Below are 18085 nucleotides of genomic sequence, written 5' to 3' on the forward strand. Positions count from 1 at the left end.
CCTTGTGTTCTAGAGGCCCCCAGGACCTAGCCAGGACTCCCCAGGGCAGGCGGACCCGCTGGCTGGTGCTCAGTCTCCCACCTCTCCCCACTCAAGCTTGGTCAATCTCTTCTCTCCTTCTGCAGTGTTCTGCTCTCTTTTGCATGGCTGGTTTTCTCTTTTCCTTTAGGTCTCAGATTAAATGCTGCTTCCTCACAGAGCCCTTCCTGACAATGCTACAGATCACTTGCTGGGATTCACTATACTTCCCTTGCTTGCCCCCTTCAAAACACCCAACTCTTCTTGCAATTTTTTTATTAATTTGTGTCTTTGCTTTTTTCTTCATCAACTTCCCTCATCAGCATAAACTCCACAGAACAGGAATCATACACATCCTGTTCTATATCCCTCTCTGATCAACACAAAGAAGGGGCACCATGTGAATTTGTGAAATGGATGCAAGTGAGGCACTGGCCCTTCTTTTGAGTTTCACAGTCCATGCTCTGGCCATTTGTCCACTGCCATCCATGGCCTCCTGTAGACAACCTTGGCAGAATTAAGAGCATCCCTTAATTCCTTGCTCCTCCCACCCACCCCCCAAAGCTGATTCAAGCTTGGCAATGAAGATACATATCCTTAACTGATATCAGTAGCTTTGATACTGTGGGTAAAAAAGCTCTAAAATTATTTTTTGGCAGGGCGCAGTGGCTCATGCCTGTAATCCCAACACTTTGGGAGGCCGAGGTGGGTGGATCACCTGAGGTCAGGAGTTTGAGAGCAGCCTAGCCAACATGGTGAAACCCTGTCTCTACTAAAAATACAAAAAAATAGCTGGGTGTGGTGGCGGGTGCCTGTAATCCCAGCTACTCAGGAGGCTGAGGCAGGAAAATTGCTTGAACCCGGGAGGCGGAGGTTGCAGTGAGCTGAGATTACACCACTGCACTCCAGCCTGGGTAACAAGCGAAACTCCGTCTCAAAAAAAAAAAAAAGATTTTTTTCATCCGCCATCCTCCTACTCCAAGTTTCTTAAAGAGATTGAGAGATGGTCTGAAATGTGGGATTGGAGCTATGACAAGGGAAGATTTTTCCTGAAGACTCAGGCTGATGGAGTCCTGGGTACTCCCGTTCTTAGGGACTGAACAAGACATCCCTTGTCCCCAGTGCAGCCTCTGGTTTCTTCTCTCAGATGCAGGAGAAAAGTAAGAATACCCCCTCCTGTCTTTTTATTAATTTCCTTTCTGGTTGTCCGAACAACTGTTTTCGTCCTGGAAACATTTAGAAATTGTACACATGCTCCTTATTTTCGACCTTTCCTTTACTTCTCTTCACTCATTGAAACCCGCTTGAAAGGCTGGGGGCAGCCTGCCAATTTCTCTAACCCTAAAAGAAGAAAAAGAAAACAACATAAAACCTCAGGCAAACGTGTTTAAAATGCAGACAGTGGTTCACTTCCATTTTCATCTTCCAGTATCAGTCTGTATAAATCAGAAGCTGGGGTTGCTGGGTTATCATGTACATTCTTGATTTGCAGTGATGCAAGTCACTTTATTCAACATCAAGAAACAAATGTGGATGCTGCTCCAGGGATGAAAGGGTTTCTCCGTTCAAACTCCGCTCTCTGGAATGTGTTTAACTGAGTAGAAGAAGATGATCGAATAAGCGGACAGTCTCGTCTCATCACGGGTGTTCCCTAAACTCTGTGTTTCTGGATGTGCCCTGCTGGTCAAAATTGGAAACAGGTTGGGAGAGTTGAAAGAGTCCCAGTCATGTCTACTTGAATTTGATTGTTGACTTCATCAATGACTTTCTGTCGGAAGTTAGCTACATTTTTCAGTCTTTGAGATCTTTAGCTTTCCTTTAAACTAAGTCAGAATAACAGTACTAATGCTGCAGGCTGACTTTGGTAATAGAGGTGTCGTCTGTGTAAGGGGTCAGTATGTGCCCATCTCATCGAAGGCCCTCAATAAAAGGAAGGCAGTGTTATTGTGACAACATTTTCTCTAGTCTGTGGCCTTGGCTGTGGAGTGTTCTCCTGCACATCATGCATACAAAACACCCCATATGTTTGATGTGAGCTCCGGGGTCTGCGACCAACCGTGATTTGAAAAGCAGATGTTATTAATCTTCTAAACACTGCACATCAGCCATGATGTCATTTAGGACTGACAGTGGATGCGCTGCCTCCTTCCCTTTTGGAGATAATTATTTTGAAGCACTAGGAGAGGCCGTTTGTTTTTTAAGACAGTTGGGGCCAATTTGCCTTTTGAGAATCCAGTGGCAGCCTGTAATGAAAACATGAAAATAAGCACGGGCCCCAAGCTCAGACATTCAAGGCAGGAAGGCTGCAAAGCAGAGCAAAGCTCCATGTGGACCGCGAGTGCCTGCCTGTAACCTATGGAAGAGTGGAAGGAAGGTGGTGGAGAAGCCAGCTCCTGGAAAAGTGCCGCAGCAAGAGGACATGCTCGTCGTGGCATAGGGAATGTCTCACAGAGTCCAGACTTCAGAATACTGAAGGAGCTATTTCCAGGTTTGAATTGCCTAGCAATGAGGCTCTATTATCACAAACCAGGATGGGATGGGCCCATCTCTGGAAGCAGTGCAGGAATACATTCAACTCAACAAATGTTCATTGTGCACCTGCCATGTGGGAGAGAATGATGACCACAGGTTTATGGCTCCTTCCCTGGAAGGAGCTCAGAGACAAGGGTAAGCTGATATTGACCACACATTGTGTAAGGCACATGATGGGCATCCCTCATCTGATCTTCTTCCCATAGCACCGCAAAGTAGGGAATGTACAAATCCACAGAGATAAGGAAGTCTGAGAGGCAGGAACAACAGACAAAGGGTGTCAAGTACTAGGACCTTAGAGAATAGGTGAGAAGGCAGCAAATCACTTGGCTGACAGTAAGAACAACACCAAAGTGTCTGCCTGGGGTAGGGGCATCAAGGGCCAGGGAGATGTGCACTGGGGAGTCCTGGGGAGGCTGAGGATGGGACAACCACTTGCCTCTGAAGGCCAGATTCAAGGTCAGACTGAATACAGGATGACTGGCCAGGAGGCTACTTCCACCCTGCCGCAGCATGAACTGCTCCTTCCACCCTACCCTGCCAGAGACAAGAGACATGGAGTTTAGTCTGTAGAAGAACTGAACTAGGAAGGCTCCAGATCCCAGGTAGCCCAGTGAAACCAAGAAGATTTGGTGAAAGTGTAGTGACTGCATGGTGAGATCCTTCACACCCGTTGCCTCAATTCACTTCCCCTACTTGGCCACCAGAACATGGTTAGGATGAGAGAGGCCAGGCAAGGGATAGGAGCTTTATCATCATTGGAAACTCTGAGCAGCTGATGATCCAGGACCTACAAATATTAAAATTTGGAGTTGAACCAGTGAAAGAGCTAAGTCTTTTATCTATTTTAAAGCAAAGTGTTTGACAAATCTCACCCAGCACACGCAGCCTCCACACAAGCTATGGCTCCACGCTGTTCATTGTCAATGGGCAACAAAGGATCATATGTATTTGAGAAAAGCATGAACTTCAGACTCTAAATCTAAAAGGAAAAGGAGACACTGCAGGGAACAGAAGATAATTATATAATTTAGAGAAATAAAAGAAGATACTGCATCTATTGCAAAAGAATAAGACGCTATTAAAAGAAAACATTTGGAGCAAAAGAAAACTGTCTCAGGATTCAAAGTGCGTTAGCACTTAACACTACTGAGTTACACGCTGAAAAATGATTAAGAGGGTGGATTTTATACTATATATATTTTGCGCAGTTAAAAATTTTTAAAGTATCTAAATAGTTTCACAAAGGATACATACATATGTCATATGTATATGGGATATATAATGAACCCCTTCAAATCAATAATATGAAGACAAATAACCCAATAAAAAATGGACAACAGACACTTCATAAAAGAATATAAAGAATATAGACAAATGGCCAATAAGGACATAAAAAAATGCTCAACATCATCAGCCATCAGAAAAATACAAATAAAAATCATAACAAGATACCACTATATAGTCACCAAAACAGCTAAAATGAAAATGACTGACAAAGCCAAATGTTGACAAGGATGTGGAACAATTAGAATGCTCATGTACTGTTAATGGTAGTAAAAATGGTTGAATTATATTGGAAAAACTTCTGGCAGTTTCTGAAAACAATCTGAACATCGTTCTACCCTATGACCTAAACATTCCACTTCTAGGTGTATACCCAGTAGAAATAAAAAGATGTTTACTGGAAGAACTGCACAAAATATTAACTTCAGCTTTATTCATAATAACCCCAAACTGGAAACACCTCAGGGGTTCCCTGAATGGCAATTGATAGTAAATGAAATAATACTCAGAAATAAGAAGGAACACAACATGGTTACAGGTAACAGTATAGAGAAATCCCAGAAACATGTCAAGGTAAAGAGGCTGGACACAGACAGTATGCAATATTATTTCTTTTATGTACAGTTCCTTAATGCCAAACTAGTGCACCATGAAGAAGTCCAAAGCGCCTTTTCTTTGGTAGAGAAGTAGAGAGTGCCTCCTTCTCCCTACTTGAGGAGCAAGCAGAGAGGTCTTTTCTGCGATGGGAATGTTCTCTATCTGGACTGTGCTTTCGGTTGCACTGGTGTATGCATCAGTCAAAACTCATCAGTGTGGGACACTTAAGATTTGTACACTTTATTGAATGTAAATTTTACCTCAAAAGAAAAAAAAAGAGGCTTAAGCAATGATAAAACAGAAATGATTGCAGACAGGGAAGATAATCAAAACACAATTTAAAAGGTCCTCGAAGTGTTCTGCACGACTGGTGTAAAATGACCCAAGGAAGGACTGTCATTTTTATTTTGTTGTTATTTTGCTATCAGATAGTTTATTAAAAGTTAGTGAAGTGCGCCTGTTAGGAAAACAGCTAACAATCTATTTTTAATGATAAAATTCAAAATCTCCAGTGAAAATTCGAATTTTGAAAGTTTTCTGTATCTCTCCATGAATTTGACAGCTTCCCAATTCTTAAGGACTTTTTGTAATGAGATTGGTGATATTAACCAATGTGTTTTTCATATAGTATGATGAAATGTTTCAACATTTTCAAGATCTACACGATCATGTAAACTAAGTGAACTCGAAGGAAAATAATTCATTCTATCAGAAAGACACACACACTCGCATGTTCATCGCAGCTCTATTCACAATAGCAAAGACATAGAATTAACCTAGCACGGCCACTTTTAGAACACTGGAGATACAAAGAAGATTTGTAAAGCTTCCAGAGAGCAAGAACAAACAAGTGGCATTCATGTCGTTAAGACTCTGTATGACACCGGCTTCTCAGCAGCCCTGGGAGCGGGAAGGCTTTGCCTCATTGTCCTTAGACTCAGAGAGAAAGATAGTCTAACCTAGAATTCCATGCCTAGCTGCCAAACTACAATCAAGTGGGAAGGTCGGATAAGGACATGCCCATACATATCCTGTGTCCTTTCTCCAGGAATGACAGAAGACTGTGTGCCCCAAACAAAGGTGATAACTAAGAACAAGGGGGACACAGAATGCAGGGAAAAAAGACCAATCAAGGGCAGAAGTGAAAGGAATTTCCAGGATCAGGAAGGAAGGAATTTCTAGGACTATATGTGTGGTTTGCAGAAAAATAAGACCAGACAAAAGCAGGAGTATAGAAAGCTCCAGAAAAAGACTTTTCCTAGAACAAAACAGACCCTACAGATGATCTGATTCTCAACTGCATTAGGAAAAACATGTACCAGAGAGAGTTCAGAGATGAATTAGAAGTAAGGATATGGAAAAGAGCAACAATGACTTAAACAGACGAGGTAGTGGTTAACTCAGTGAAACTGTACAAGAAGGGAAGTCCAATCATCACACTCCCTGTGACTCAGCATGGACAACACAGACATGGCCATGATGTCAGGATCATTATATACTGAGTCAAACAAAAACTGAACAGTAACAAGAGGAGGGAGAAATGCACAATTTGTGTATTTCTGCACGTGCATGGGAGAGGGCATGCAAATTTCCAGTGCTCATTTTGTATCATAGAAAGTCAACAGATATTCCCTACAATAAGCATAAAATATGTAGCTATGTAAGCAGGTTATTATAAATATATAGAGATAAATAAAAAGCAAAAACACCTAAACATTCAAAAGCGTTTTCTTCTAGGGGGCAGATATTGGGTGTGAACAGGGCTAGGGCAGAGGTTTGCTTTTCTCCATTAAGATCTATCTAGTCTTATTTTAATTTTAAACCATAGATGTATATGTGTATGTATGTTTGTATGTATATGTATGTGTAGATAGAATATAGTTGCATCAATGATAGGTGATTGATAGATATAGATAGCTAGCTAGCTAGATAGATAGATGATTGATAGATAGATTAGATAGATGATAGATAGATGATAGATAGATAGATAGATAGATAGATAGATAGATAGATAGATGATAGATAGAATGTTAGATTTTTTTAAAAAAAGCTCTGATTTGGCGAAGAGCAGGGTGACATGGAAGGCCATCAATCCCTGACCTTTGAAGTTAGAGAGGGCTCCTAAAAGGACCTTTAACTGAGCCAAAGCATAAAAGATAAGAGGAAAAGATGTTGGTTGGGGAAGGGTAGGAGAGGAAGGTTCAGAGAAAAACAATGAGAGAGACAGAGAAGATGTTACAGGAAGAACCTGTTTGGCCAAACCAAGTGTTTTCATTTCATGAATAGAGCATACTGGAGGAAAGGGACCTCTCTAGAAGTGTATTTCATGGAGACTGACCTAACTGTGTAAAATGCAGAATCATACAGAAAAAAAGAATTCTCAGTACTGATGTTGAAGGCCCTGGTTGAAATAAACTCCATGGTCCTGGAAGGGATGCGAAGAGCATCCGCAACCTCCTAGAACCCAGACATCAAAAAAGAGAATTGAAATGGAACCAGAGCTGAGACATTTTTCTAAGTCCCAACTACCAGGAGGTTTCCTAGACACTGGAGAGAAGAGGTTGAAGTTTCATACAAAACCAAAATTGCAATTGTGTTATGCAATTTTGCCGTGTAACTATTCATGTCAACTTTATCCAAACATCATTCTGTAGGTAGGTGCCTTCATTCTCAATTAATCCGTTTGTGGCTGAGTAAACCCGTCACCTCCAGATCTTGAAAAAGGACCCTGTGTGGCTTCAGATCTTGAAGACAGCAGGTAAGCATCTGCGTTTCAGTAGCCAGACCAGCAGCTCCAGGGAGGGAGGCGAGGGGAGGGTGTTATTTAGGTTTGGTAGGTGAGGGTCCGAGAGATTAAATAACATATCTGAGGCCACACGGTGATAGTGGGGGAAGTTTTCTTCACATATTCCAAGCAATTCTCGCCCTACCCCCACCGACCCCATCACTAAAAAGGAGCTGATGTTGACCACCTGCCAGGTGGCATGCAGCATGCTGCAGAGTTTACATATATTCTGTTTATGTGCGTAACATTTCCAAATAATGTTAGTCATGCCCATTTCATAGATGTGGAAACTGAGTCCATGATGCAAACTGAGAGTCTCAAGCCCAGGCCTTTTGTCTCCATGTTCAAGCTGGACAACTAAGAGATGGGCTCTTTCTAAGCCCGCTATTCCTCTAAGAGCTAATGCCCTCATGCCCCCATAATTCACATTTCCCATATCTCCACTGAATTGAACTGAACCCCTCACAATGGCTTCCTTCCACCATCTTCCACTGGCTTTTTCCATCTGTCAGGGATGCTAAGACCTTTAAGTCAGCTAAGAGTCAGCTACGTGAAAGGGCTGAGATGCAATGTTGTCAGAAGAGGAGTAGGAGAGGGTGAGGGGATCAAAGAGGAGAGAGATGAAGCAGCACTCATCTTGCATATGCTCAAGGTAAGTAGGCCTCCTTCCACAGATGAAATCTGGGGTGAACTGTGGCAATCGAGCAGTCCCCAGAGAGCAACAATCCCTGCATTTCTGAAAACCCACAGTGGCTCAGTAGCGCTAGGGAACCACACAGAATCCCAAGCACCCCTCTCCTTTCAATGACAACACAATTCTCAGTGGTCAGTTGGCTATTTCGATATGCTAATTACCTAGGAGGCAACTTACCTCTTGGGGTTTTGCTAATCCCTTGCCCAATTGTACAGCTTCATAGGGCCAGTTAGTCATCCTTTAAAGTATGCTCCAGAAAGTAAATGTTCTTTCAGATTGCCAGGGACTTTTTACTTAAGGTGGCCAGCCACTCAATTTCCAGGAGCTGGGAGCATCCACCCACAAAACCATGGCCAGGCTTGCCAAAGGGAAGGCATGCTGTTTGGCACAGGGACTTTAATCTACTGCCGATATTTCATTATTATAATGCAATAATAAAAGTAGGTGTGTACAATAAAGCCATTTAATAATAACTATTATCAGGCACACATTAGCCTGCCTTTGAAGAGGCAGTTTGTATGCAACGTAATTCCTGGTAGGGGGAGAATCAGTGGTAGAACACTTAAGCCTCATGGGAAGACGAGGACGCAATGGGCTAAGAGACATGGGGCAGCTGTGTGTGGCCCTCAAATCGAAGAGACAGCTCTGTCTACTGATGATACCGCATTTCAACGTTATAGTAATACCACTGAGTAGTTTTCATTGTTTTGTTTTTTTGTTGTTGTTGTTGTTTAGAGGGTGGAAACTGAAGGCCAAAGAAGTGAAATAAACTGCCTATCCCTTCAGCTGAGCTGTGACTTGAATCTGACTCCATGGATTATATTCTTTCTAAATTCCTAAAGTTTTGAATCTTTTTTTTATCGTCTCTTAAATAAATTTGTAGGCTAATCTACAATTTCTAAAGTAAATTTAAGGAGAGTCCAAAATGTGTATAGCACTTACTGTGTATCAGGCACTATGTTAGTGCTTACATATGTCAACTTAATCCACCCTCACACAGGACTATGACATTCATATCATTATTATTCCCATTTTTAGTGTAAGGAACTGAGACACAGAGAGGTTGGGTCATCTGTCAAGGGTCACACAGCTGCTTACTGATGCACATCAGATTTTAACCCAACCAGCCTGGCTCCCAATCGCTTCACAGGACTACTGAGCAAATTGGAATCTGATGTGGCACCTTCCTCATCTGCTGTGCTGCTGGGGAGGAATCTTTTTAGGATTGTAAACGATGTTGCTCTTCACTCGTGCTGTTCCTGATCAAAGATCCAGAGACCATTCTGTGTGTTTCTTTTCTGATAATAATGTAGCCATATGAGTTTTCAGTTGCTGCTGTAAAAACTGAGCACAAAATTGGTAGCTTAAACCAGTGATCCCCAACCTTTTTGGCACCAGGTAGTGGTTTCGAGGAAGACAATTTTCCACGGACTGGGAGCAGGGGATGGTTTGGGGATGACTCAAGAACGTTACATTCATGGTGCACTTTATTTCCACTTTTATCACATTATAATATATAATGAAATACAACTGACCATAATGTAGAATCAGTGGGAGCCCTGAGCTTGTTTTCCTGCAACTACACAGTCCTATCTTGGGGAGATGGGAGACAGTGACAGATCATCAGGCATTAGATTCTCATAAGGAGAACACAACCTAGATCCCTCACATGTGCAGTTCACAGTAGGGTTTGTGTTCCTGTGAGGATCTTATACTGCCATTGATCTGCCAGAAGGAGGAGCTCAGGCGGTAATGTGAGTGATGGGGAGTGGCTGTAAATACAGACGAAGCTTCACTTACCCTCCTGCTAACCTCCTGCTGTGCAGCCCAGTTCCTAACAAGCCATGGACCAGTACCCATCCGTGACCGGGGACTGGGGAACCCTGGCTTAAACAACATAAATGTATTACCTTCTTGATAGTTTAGAAACCCAACATAGGTTTCATCAGGCTAAAAGCAAGATGTCTGTTAGTCAGTCACCCTGGAGGTTTGAGGGTAGAATTCATTGCTTTGCCTTTTCCAGCTACTAGAGGACACCAGCATTCCTTGGTTTCTGACCCCCTTCCTCCATCTTCAAAGCCAACCAGGTAGCATTCCACTCTACATTCTTCAATGTTCACATCTTCATCCCCACAAAAGCTGGAAAAGCTTCTCCACTTTGAAGGATTCATATGATACGATTACCCGGGATAACCCAGGATAATCATCCTATCTCCAGGTTCATATTCCTGATCTTTCCTGAAAAGTTCCTCTGCCATATAAGGCAGTATAGTCACAGGTTGTGGGGATTCAGACAGGGACCTCTCTAGAGGTCCATTAAGAGAGGTCCATTATTCTGATTACCACACTAGCCAAAGCATGACAGAAGTGATGAGCACAGGCATCGCCGATTTTAACTTTGCATTAAGGCAACTCTCACAGGATCTAGATATAAAGATCAACCCATAAATAATGAAAGTTTTTATGTTTGAATACCTGTCCCATAAGGCTTATTATTATCACTACTCTTAATTTAACATGATTATCAGCATTAATATTATTACCATATTAACTAGCATCTGTACCTCAATGCAAAAGCTTTTTTTGAATTTATCATTTGTTTGGATCAAATAAGGACACACATGTAAAAGGGCTTTGTAAACTTCAAGTTTCTGTCCAAATATGAATCGTGATTAGAGGCCTGCATGTGGAGTGATAGGAGGAAGCACTGAGTACTGGTAGATGCCCATAAATACGTGTGGAGCAGAATGAAAAGCAAAGCTTTTGCTGTGACTTATATGGAAAGAAGGATCTGAACTTAATTTAAGCTTAAGAGAAGTTGATGATTTTCTTGCTTCCCAGATTTATGAAGCTATTAGAGATTCTCAACAGATGAATTATGGGGGGTGAAATTGTAGCCCACGTACAGCTCAGCAAATGAGCATGTTGTCATGGTAGGGAAGACTGTCACTTTGGGACAGATAAGGCGACCTAGAGTAGCTGTGTACTCTATACACATAACTGTTCCTCTACACAGATCTGAACACAGAGGGGTAATGAGTAAGAAAGAAAAGAGCCAGGTGCAGTGGCTCAAGCCTGTAATGCTAGCCCTTTGGGAGGCTGAGACAGGCGGATCATGAGGTCAGGAGATGGAGACCATCTACTAAAAATACAAAAAATTAGCCGGGCATGGTGGCGGGCACTTGTAGTCCCAGCTACTCGGGAGGCTGAGGCAGGAGAATGGCATGAACCCGGGAGGCGGAGCTTGCAGTGAGCCGAGATTGCGCCACTGCAGTCCATCCTGGGTGACAGAGCGAGACTCCAGAAAAAAAAAAAAGATAAAAAGAACGAAGGAAGGAGGGAAGGAAGGAAAGAAGGAAGGAAGAGAGAGAGAGAGAGAGAAAGAGAAAAAAAGAAAGAGAAAGAAAGAAAAAGAGAGAGAATGAGAGAGAGAGAAAAAGAAAGAAAGAAAGAAAAAGAAAAAGAAAGAAAGAAAGAAAGAAAGAAAGAAAGAAAGAAAGAAAGAAAGAAAGAAAGAAAGAAAGAGAAAGAAAGGCTAAGAACTGGCTTATCTTTATGATGCGATAGGATGAAAGAGCCCCTTTGTCCTAGACTCAGCACATGGAACCAGGTATGAGGTTTCAGGGGCCTCACTCTACTTTCCTGGGCCTCAGTATTTCCACTTGCATGTGGACGAAATGAGATCTAACAGTCCTTGTATCCAGATACACACTGCTTTCTTTCAATGACAGCCCCAGAGAGTGAAGCCAGGTTTTTGCCCTTGGTCCACTCTTGATGAATTTATACCACTGAATCAACAGATGGTGTTATTGTCCTTGAGTTAAGTGCATTTCTAACTTTAATGCCATATAAATGTCCTGGGAATCTTGTGAAAATTCAGACTCCCATTCAGTGGTTCCAGGGTTCTACATTCCTGTAAGTTCCTAGGGGATGCTCACACTATTGGCTGATGGAGCACACTTTGGGTAGTGACAACGTTCCGCCTACTGGAGCTTGCAGACTTGTCCGGGCACCTGGCTCACTGCTCTGCCACCCCTACCTCACAGTCCCTCACATCAGCCAGGTGCCGTCTGTAGGACTCACATTATCTAGAACCCTTTGAGTTGCTAGTATAGGAACAGAGGGAGGATTAGCCCAAGCACAAAGTGGGGGTTGCACTGGCTCACATTTTGTGAAAGGTGAGGGAGCAGCTGGGGAAGGCTGGGGCCAGACACTTCCTGGAAGGGACCCTCACCTCCTGCCTCTCACCCCTGCTGCACTCTCCTTGTTGGCCGGCAGCAGCAATTTACAGGGCTCCAACCCCAAGTAAGAAATTTGGGGGAAGGTTCCTAACTGGCCCAGGTTGGATCACAGGCTTGGACCAATCATTTGGGAAGTGTGTATATGTGGGGAAGGAGGTGAGAGACATTAGATTATTCCCTGTGGCCAGCGGGAAGCTTCCATTCTGTTCTCAATGTTGCAGCTGGGGAGGAGAGGGATTGCTCCCCAGAGAAGGGGCATGGCAGAGGCCTGGCCCCCAGGAATTCTTGTGCACATGCCAGCCCCTGCCCCCTGCTTTGTGTGTACAGGAGGAGCACCCCTAATCCCAAAATCCAAAATCTGAAATGCTCCAAAATCCAGAACTTTTGAGCACCAACATGATGTCACAAGTGGAAAATTCCACACATAATTACTTAACACAAACTTTGTTTCATGCACCAATTATTTAAAATATTGTATAAAAATTACCTTGTGGCTATGTGTATAAGGCATATGAAACATTAAAAAAAATGTGTTTAGACTTGGGTCTCATCCCCAAGATATCTCATTATGTGCATACAAATATTCCAAAATCTGAAGAAATTGGAAATCTGAAACACTTCTGACCCCAAGCATTTTGGATAAGGGATACTAAATCTGTATTGCAAACCTTGTGAACCGGCATCCAGGAACTGTTTCTGTATCAGGGTAGTAGTGTGGATTCTGGGCAAAGGGTCCTGTAGCCCCCTTCCATTTTCGCAAAATATACGGTGCTCCTGTTTGTCTGTTTCTGTGCTACGTGGGGCAATGGGGTCCCATGTTCCCAGGAGTAGGAGCTACAGGCATGCTGCTCTGAAGTTTACCTGGGTCTGTTCTGGTTGCACTCTGCTGTCCTGGTATAATTATTCATAGTGCCCTCCTTTCTCCTTCCTAAGGGCTCTGCTTTGGACTATAATTTATAAGAAGCCTGGGCTTTGGAGTCAGACACATCCAAGTTCAGAGCCCACCTTGATGCTGTGAGATCCTGGCAAAGCCACCCACTCCCTCTGAAAAGTGGATTGCGGAGATTAAGAGAGACTACTGAAGTGCCACGTTTAGGCTGACATCAGGAGCACCGGTGATACCTCCTTCCCATGTTGCGAAAGCTTTGATTTTGACCCATCCTTGAGTCCTGAAGCTTGAACTCTGACCAGCCTGGGGAAGCTCATTCGGTATTTTGATTTGATTTGATTTTTTTTCCTTTCTCTTTATCAGTTCTGTGGCTAAAAGACCTCAGTCCTCCAGGCAACATCACGTTGATGCCTTTCACAAGCACTAACATTCCCATTTAAAACCGGAAAATATTTGACTATCTTTGTTGTTGCTGCTATAAATCCTATTGGATTCACATCAAATGGGACAAATTTTAAATTTCACCCATGAGACCTTTATCGGGTGTGCATCCCATTCAGAGACCCACAGTGGAAAATGGATTTCAAAATTGTGTGCACTGCATTTTGAGGCTGAATATTTTAAAACCTGAATGCATAACCAAAAAATTGGAACAGGGCGAATAAACTGTACTGACCCATATCAATGAATGATATCAACTCCACTTCTACCCAGAGTGAGTGGAATTGCTTATCAAACAGATCCCTTCTCATCTTCTCATAAATTACAACAACACAGAGAATGGACGGGACCCCCTTCCTGTTATTTCTTCCTGTATTTTTTTTTTTTCACGGCTTTCTCACATCATAGCCTACAAAATAAGATTACAGGAATTTGTAAATCATTAGGAGCCTACAAATTGCACATCTGTGACTTAGAAATTGGTAAATTAAACAAAAGAACTTTTTCTTGTATTTACAGATTGTGAAATGGACACTATCAGGTTGCCTTTAAAATACGTAATAAAACACACCTTCAGATTCAAACCTACAGGTAATCTTCTCACAGATGAAATGGTTCATATAACATTAGTGACACCACAAAATACCATATTACAGCTCGTGACTTACCATCATGCCTTTTACATTCTGCAAGACTGCTGAATCTTATTTTTGTTAAAAGTTATCATGTTGTCAATTTTCTAATCTAATTCCTAATCATGAAAATGTACCCTGATTTCTATTTCACTCGAGCCAGTAATAAAATATTGTTTTCCTGTTTTATCATCGATTTTCTGTGGTTATCATGGTGTCGTCATTTATTACTGTTGATGGTTCCTAACATATGTTTTGACATCCAAGGCATAGATTGTAAAATTCAGTGAAAATATATTGAAAATTTATAAGGGCTGGACGACCGTGGAGTTGTTGCTGACATGTGGCATTTCTTCATGAAAGACTGAGAACATGTGATCACACAAGGATTTCTCACTCATTCAGATAATTGTCATACAATGGCTCTGTCCCAGGCTGTGTGCCTTAGGTTCCAGGGTTGCAGTGATGAGGGAAACCCTGCCCTCACCTTGCAGAGATCAAATTCCAGCGGCGGTGACGGACCTGTGAGAAGACATGCACAGCATTGAGTCACTAAGTTAGCTAAACCTTAGGATTGTGTATATCTTTAAAGAAGACAAAATGCTTTCACATTTATTATCTTATTTGATCTTTACGGTAGCTCTGGGAGATGAGAAAGACTCTTATTATTAACCCTATTTACCAGACAAGAAAGCTGTTAGAAATCAAGATGGTATTTTGTGGTATTTGATATTTGGACCAGGAACTTGGTAATACAGAATCCTAGCCGACCAGTTACATCAACCTCTGACAGATGTGAAGGGTGAGCTGAGAGGACTCCCTGGTAGGTGGATAACGATGCTCCCAGCAGAGTTCTGGATGGGGTGAGTAGAACCTGCCCAAGGCTCCAGGCCTCGGCAGGACATCTGATCACCCAGGAAGACTTCTACATCTTGGGCACCTCCACTCCAGCCAGGCCACATGGAAAAAAGTGTGCAGGACGAAGGGAGCTCACTAAGACCTTTATGGAGCTTCTGCTATGGGTCAGGCTGTATTTAATAACCTTCATTTTACAGATTCATAATCTGAGTTTCAGGGAGAATAAATAATTTTCCAAGTGTAGGATCAGTTTGTTTTATTATAATAAGAAAACATTAAAAACTTTAGATAGACACAGATATATAGATACGGTTTATACCTATTTATCTATAACTCATTTATACCTCCATCTATATGTATATATGCAGATATAGACATAGATATTGAGCTGGATATAGACATAGTTATTGGTATAGATACAAATACAGATATATCTATAGATGGCTACGTTTTTCACCTTTTGTTGAGGCACATAGCATACATACTGAGAAGCGCACATGTAAGGGTACAGCTGAAGGCATTTTCACAAATCAAATGTGCCCATTGAACCCTCTCCTAGCTCAGGAAACCTTCCATCATCAATCCTCAGGAAGCTCCCTCAGACTCTCTCAATCCTTACCTACCCACCTGCTCCCAGAGACTAACCACTATCCTACTTCTAACAGCTGATGTTAGCTGTGTCTGTTTACATGCTCCAGGCAAACAAACTCCTACAGCATGCACTCCGTTGTGCCTGGCTTATTTTACCCAATATTTTGTTTGTGAGCTTCAGCTTCACCTGCGCTTTTACTGGAGGACTCTGTTGAGCCACCCCATACGTGAGCTATTAAGAGGGGCCAGCATACTTGACTTCCTGGTTTGTGTTCACGCCCTGACATTTTATGAAGCTATTAGGTTGGTGCCAAAGTAATTGTGGTTTTTGCCATTGCAAAAGCTACAGTTACTCTTTTACCAACCTAATAAAACTGCATGTAAACCTTATAAAGTGCAGGAATAGAAATTAACAAGAGGCCAGGGTTTGTGACCATGGCGGATCATGAACTAGCTGTGTAGTCTTAGAGAAATGCCTTAACCTCTCTGTGCCGGGAATCACTGGTGACTTGGCAGGGTTTTGCTCTATTATCCATTCAAAATGGTATTTCTGGGTTTAGTGTCCTATAGGAAGAAATAAGGACAAAACTTTCCTCAAGCCGTAAGTGTTTATTTTGCCTAGTTAGCTGTTTAGACTTGGGAGGTTTGCTCAAACTTGCTTAGCTATGTGTTAAAGTTTCAGTTCAACGCACTCCTGTTGATTTAATAACTCATTCTGGCACGTTCCTTTCCCTGGATTACTGCAATCACATCCTTGCTGGCTATTTGGCTGCTGTTACCTCTTTCCAGGCCCTTCTCAGCAGAGTTAGGGGTTGGGAGGGGCACTCTAGAATGATCTTTAAAACCAAACGTAACTATAACATTCTGCTGCCGAACATTCTCCTTCAGCTCGCAGTTGTCTATAGGATAGACTCAAAATTATTTGACATGGCATCAACAACCCTTTAAAACTTGGCCCAGCTTGCCTTTAGGGCCTCCTGTCCAAGGCCTTCCAAATTCAGACTGCCCTCTGCCTCAGACCCAACTGCTGCTTCCCTCTATGTTCGAGAGATCTTCTCCTTAAAATTAAGGGAGGACTGTATCTCAGCAACAACGAGGTCAGCCAACTACAGCCCCTGAGGGCCCAATCTGGCTCACCACCTATCTGTAGACCACGAGAGCTAGAAATGGATTCGCATTTTTAAATGTCCAAAAAGGATAATGACACATAAAAACTATATGAAGTTCCAATTTCAGTGTCAATAAACAAAGTTTTATTACAGCCATGCTCATTCATTTATGTACTGCCTGTGGTTGCTTCCACACTATGGCGGCAGAGTTGCTTGGTTGTGGCAGAGACTGTGTGGCCGGCAAAACAGAAAATACCTATTAGTAGGCTCCTTACAGGAAGTCCGCTGGCCTCAAATCTATGTTCACAGAATATTTTTGAAAAATTCTACTTTGCACATTTATATATATATGTGTGTGTGTGTGTATGTTTATATACATTTATAAATGTATATATTTTATAAAGAGAACTTTTTATTTATTTACTTTTTCCCCAGAGTAGTGTGCTCTATTTAACACTGTATCCCAGCTTCTGATATCTTGACACACAGCAGCAGGTAAATTAAGTATTTGCTAAATTGCCTTGGCTGGTTTGGTACACAGTTTAAGTCAGTGGCTCCTAGGTTTAACTAAGTGGTGGTTAATGTATCTGCCCAGAAGCTGTAGGTAGATTTAAGTTTTACTTGAATTGCTTACTTAAGATTTAAGTAGATGTAGTATTTAGAATAGGAAATGTTGGGGCAGGGGGGTAAATCTAGTTTTATTTGACAGGTATTTATGATTAGCTATTAACAGGCATTGAGTTAGGAATACCAAGTTCATGGCCATCAAAGATGAAAAAGGTACGAGCTCTTCCTTGAAGAAGTTTATTCCCTAGATAGGAAGGGCAGATGCTAATGAATTGTCTAAATGCTCTTTTAGTTAGGCCTGTGTCTTTCAGAGGGGAAGGCATTCTTTTTGGTCAGAGATAGATACAGTATAAAATTTTAGAAGTGGAAGGGAATTTAGAGATTAAGAGATGAAGTTTGGTTATTTGACCATGTTCAAACCAACCGTTTGACTTTACTAACCTCACTTCCACATTTGGCAAATAGGTTTGAGGGTAAAATAGATCAAGCCTGGCGTCCCTTATAGCTCAAATTCTAAGGTTTAATTTTTTAAATTTTACTGTTTGATTTAACTTTTTGATAGATGTCTTATCAAAAAACCATTAGTATCCAAGCATGTTGCCTTTTAGCTTGTTTTAATATACAGGCATGTATCTATTCTAAAAATATTATTCAGAGTCTCTTCTTCACAAAACGAAAGAAAGACCCCTCTATCTTAAAAAAGTACTAGAACACATGAAACAAAAGACCCTCCATATCTATGAGAAGATAAGGCTAAATTTTCAAGTTCTTTTTTTAATTACTAAATCACTTCAAACAGTTTCCAAACATAATAGGGACAATATGGTGTGACTCTTGATGTTGG

General features: G+C 41.9%; 1 long non-coding RNA gene across 1 annotated transcript in view; it reads left to right on the top strand.

The window, feature by feature from the left end:
* Positions 1–14312, top strand: part of LOC105370656 (uncharacterized) — a 28806-nt gene extending 14494 nt beyond the window's left edge. The window contains exons 2-3 of the long non-coding RNA XR_944195.3: positions 7089–7192; positions 13088–14312. This is a non-coding gene — a long non-coding RNA (uncharacterized LOC105370656). The remainder of the gene's footprint in view (positions 1–7088; positions 7193–13087) is intronic.
* Positions 14313–18085: the final 3773 nt, after the last annotated feature.

Source organism: Homo sapiens, chromosome 14 (assembly GCF_000001405.40).
Source record: "Homo sapiens chromosome 14, GRCh38.p14 Primary Assembly".
Taxonomy (NCBI): domain Eukaryota; kingdom Metazoa; phylum Chordata; class Mammalia; order Primates; family Hominidae; genus Homo; species Homo sapiens.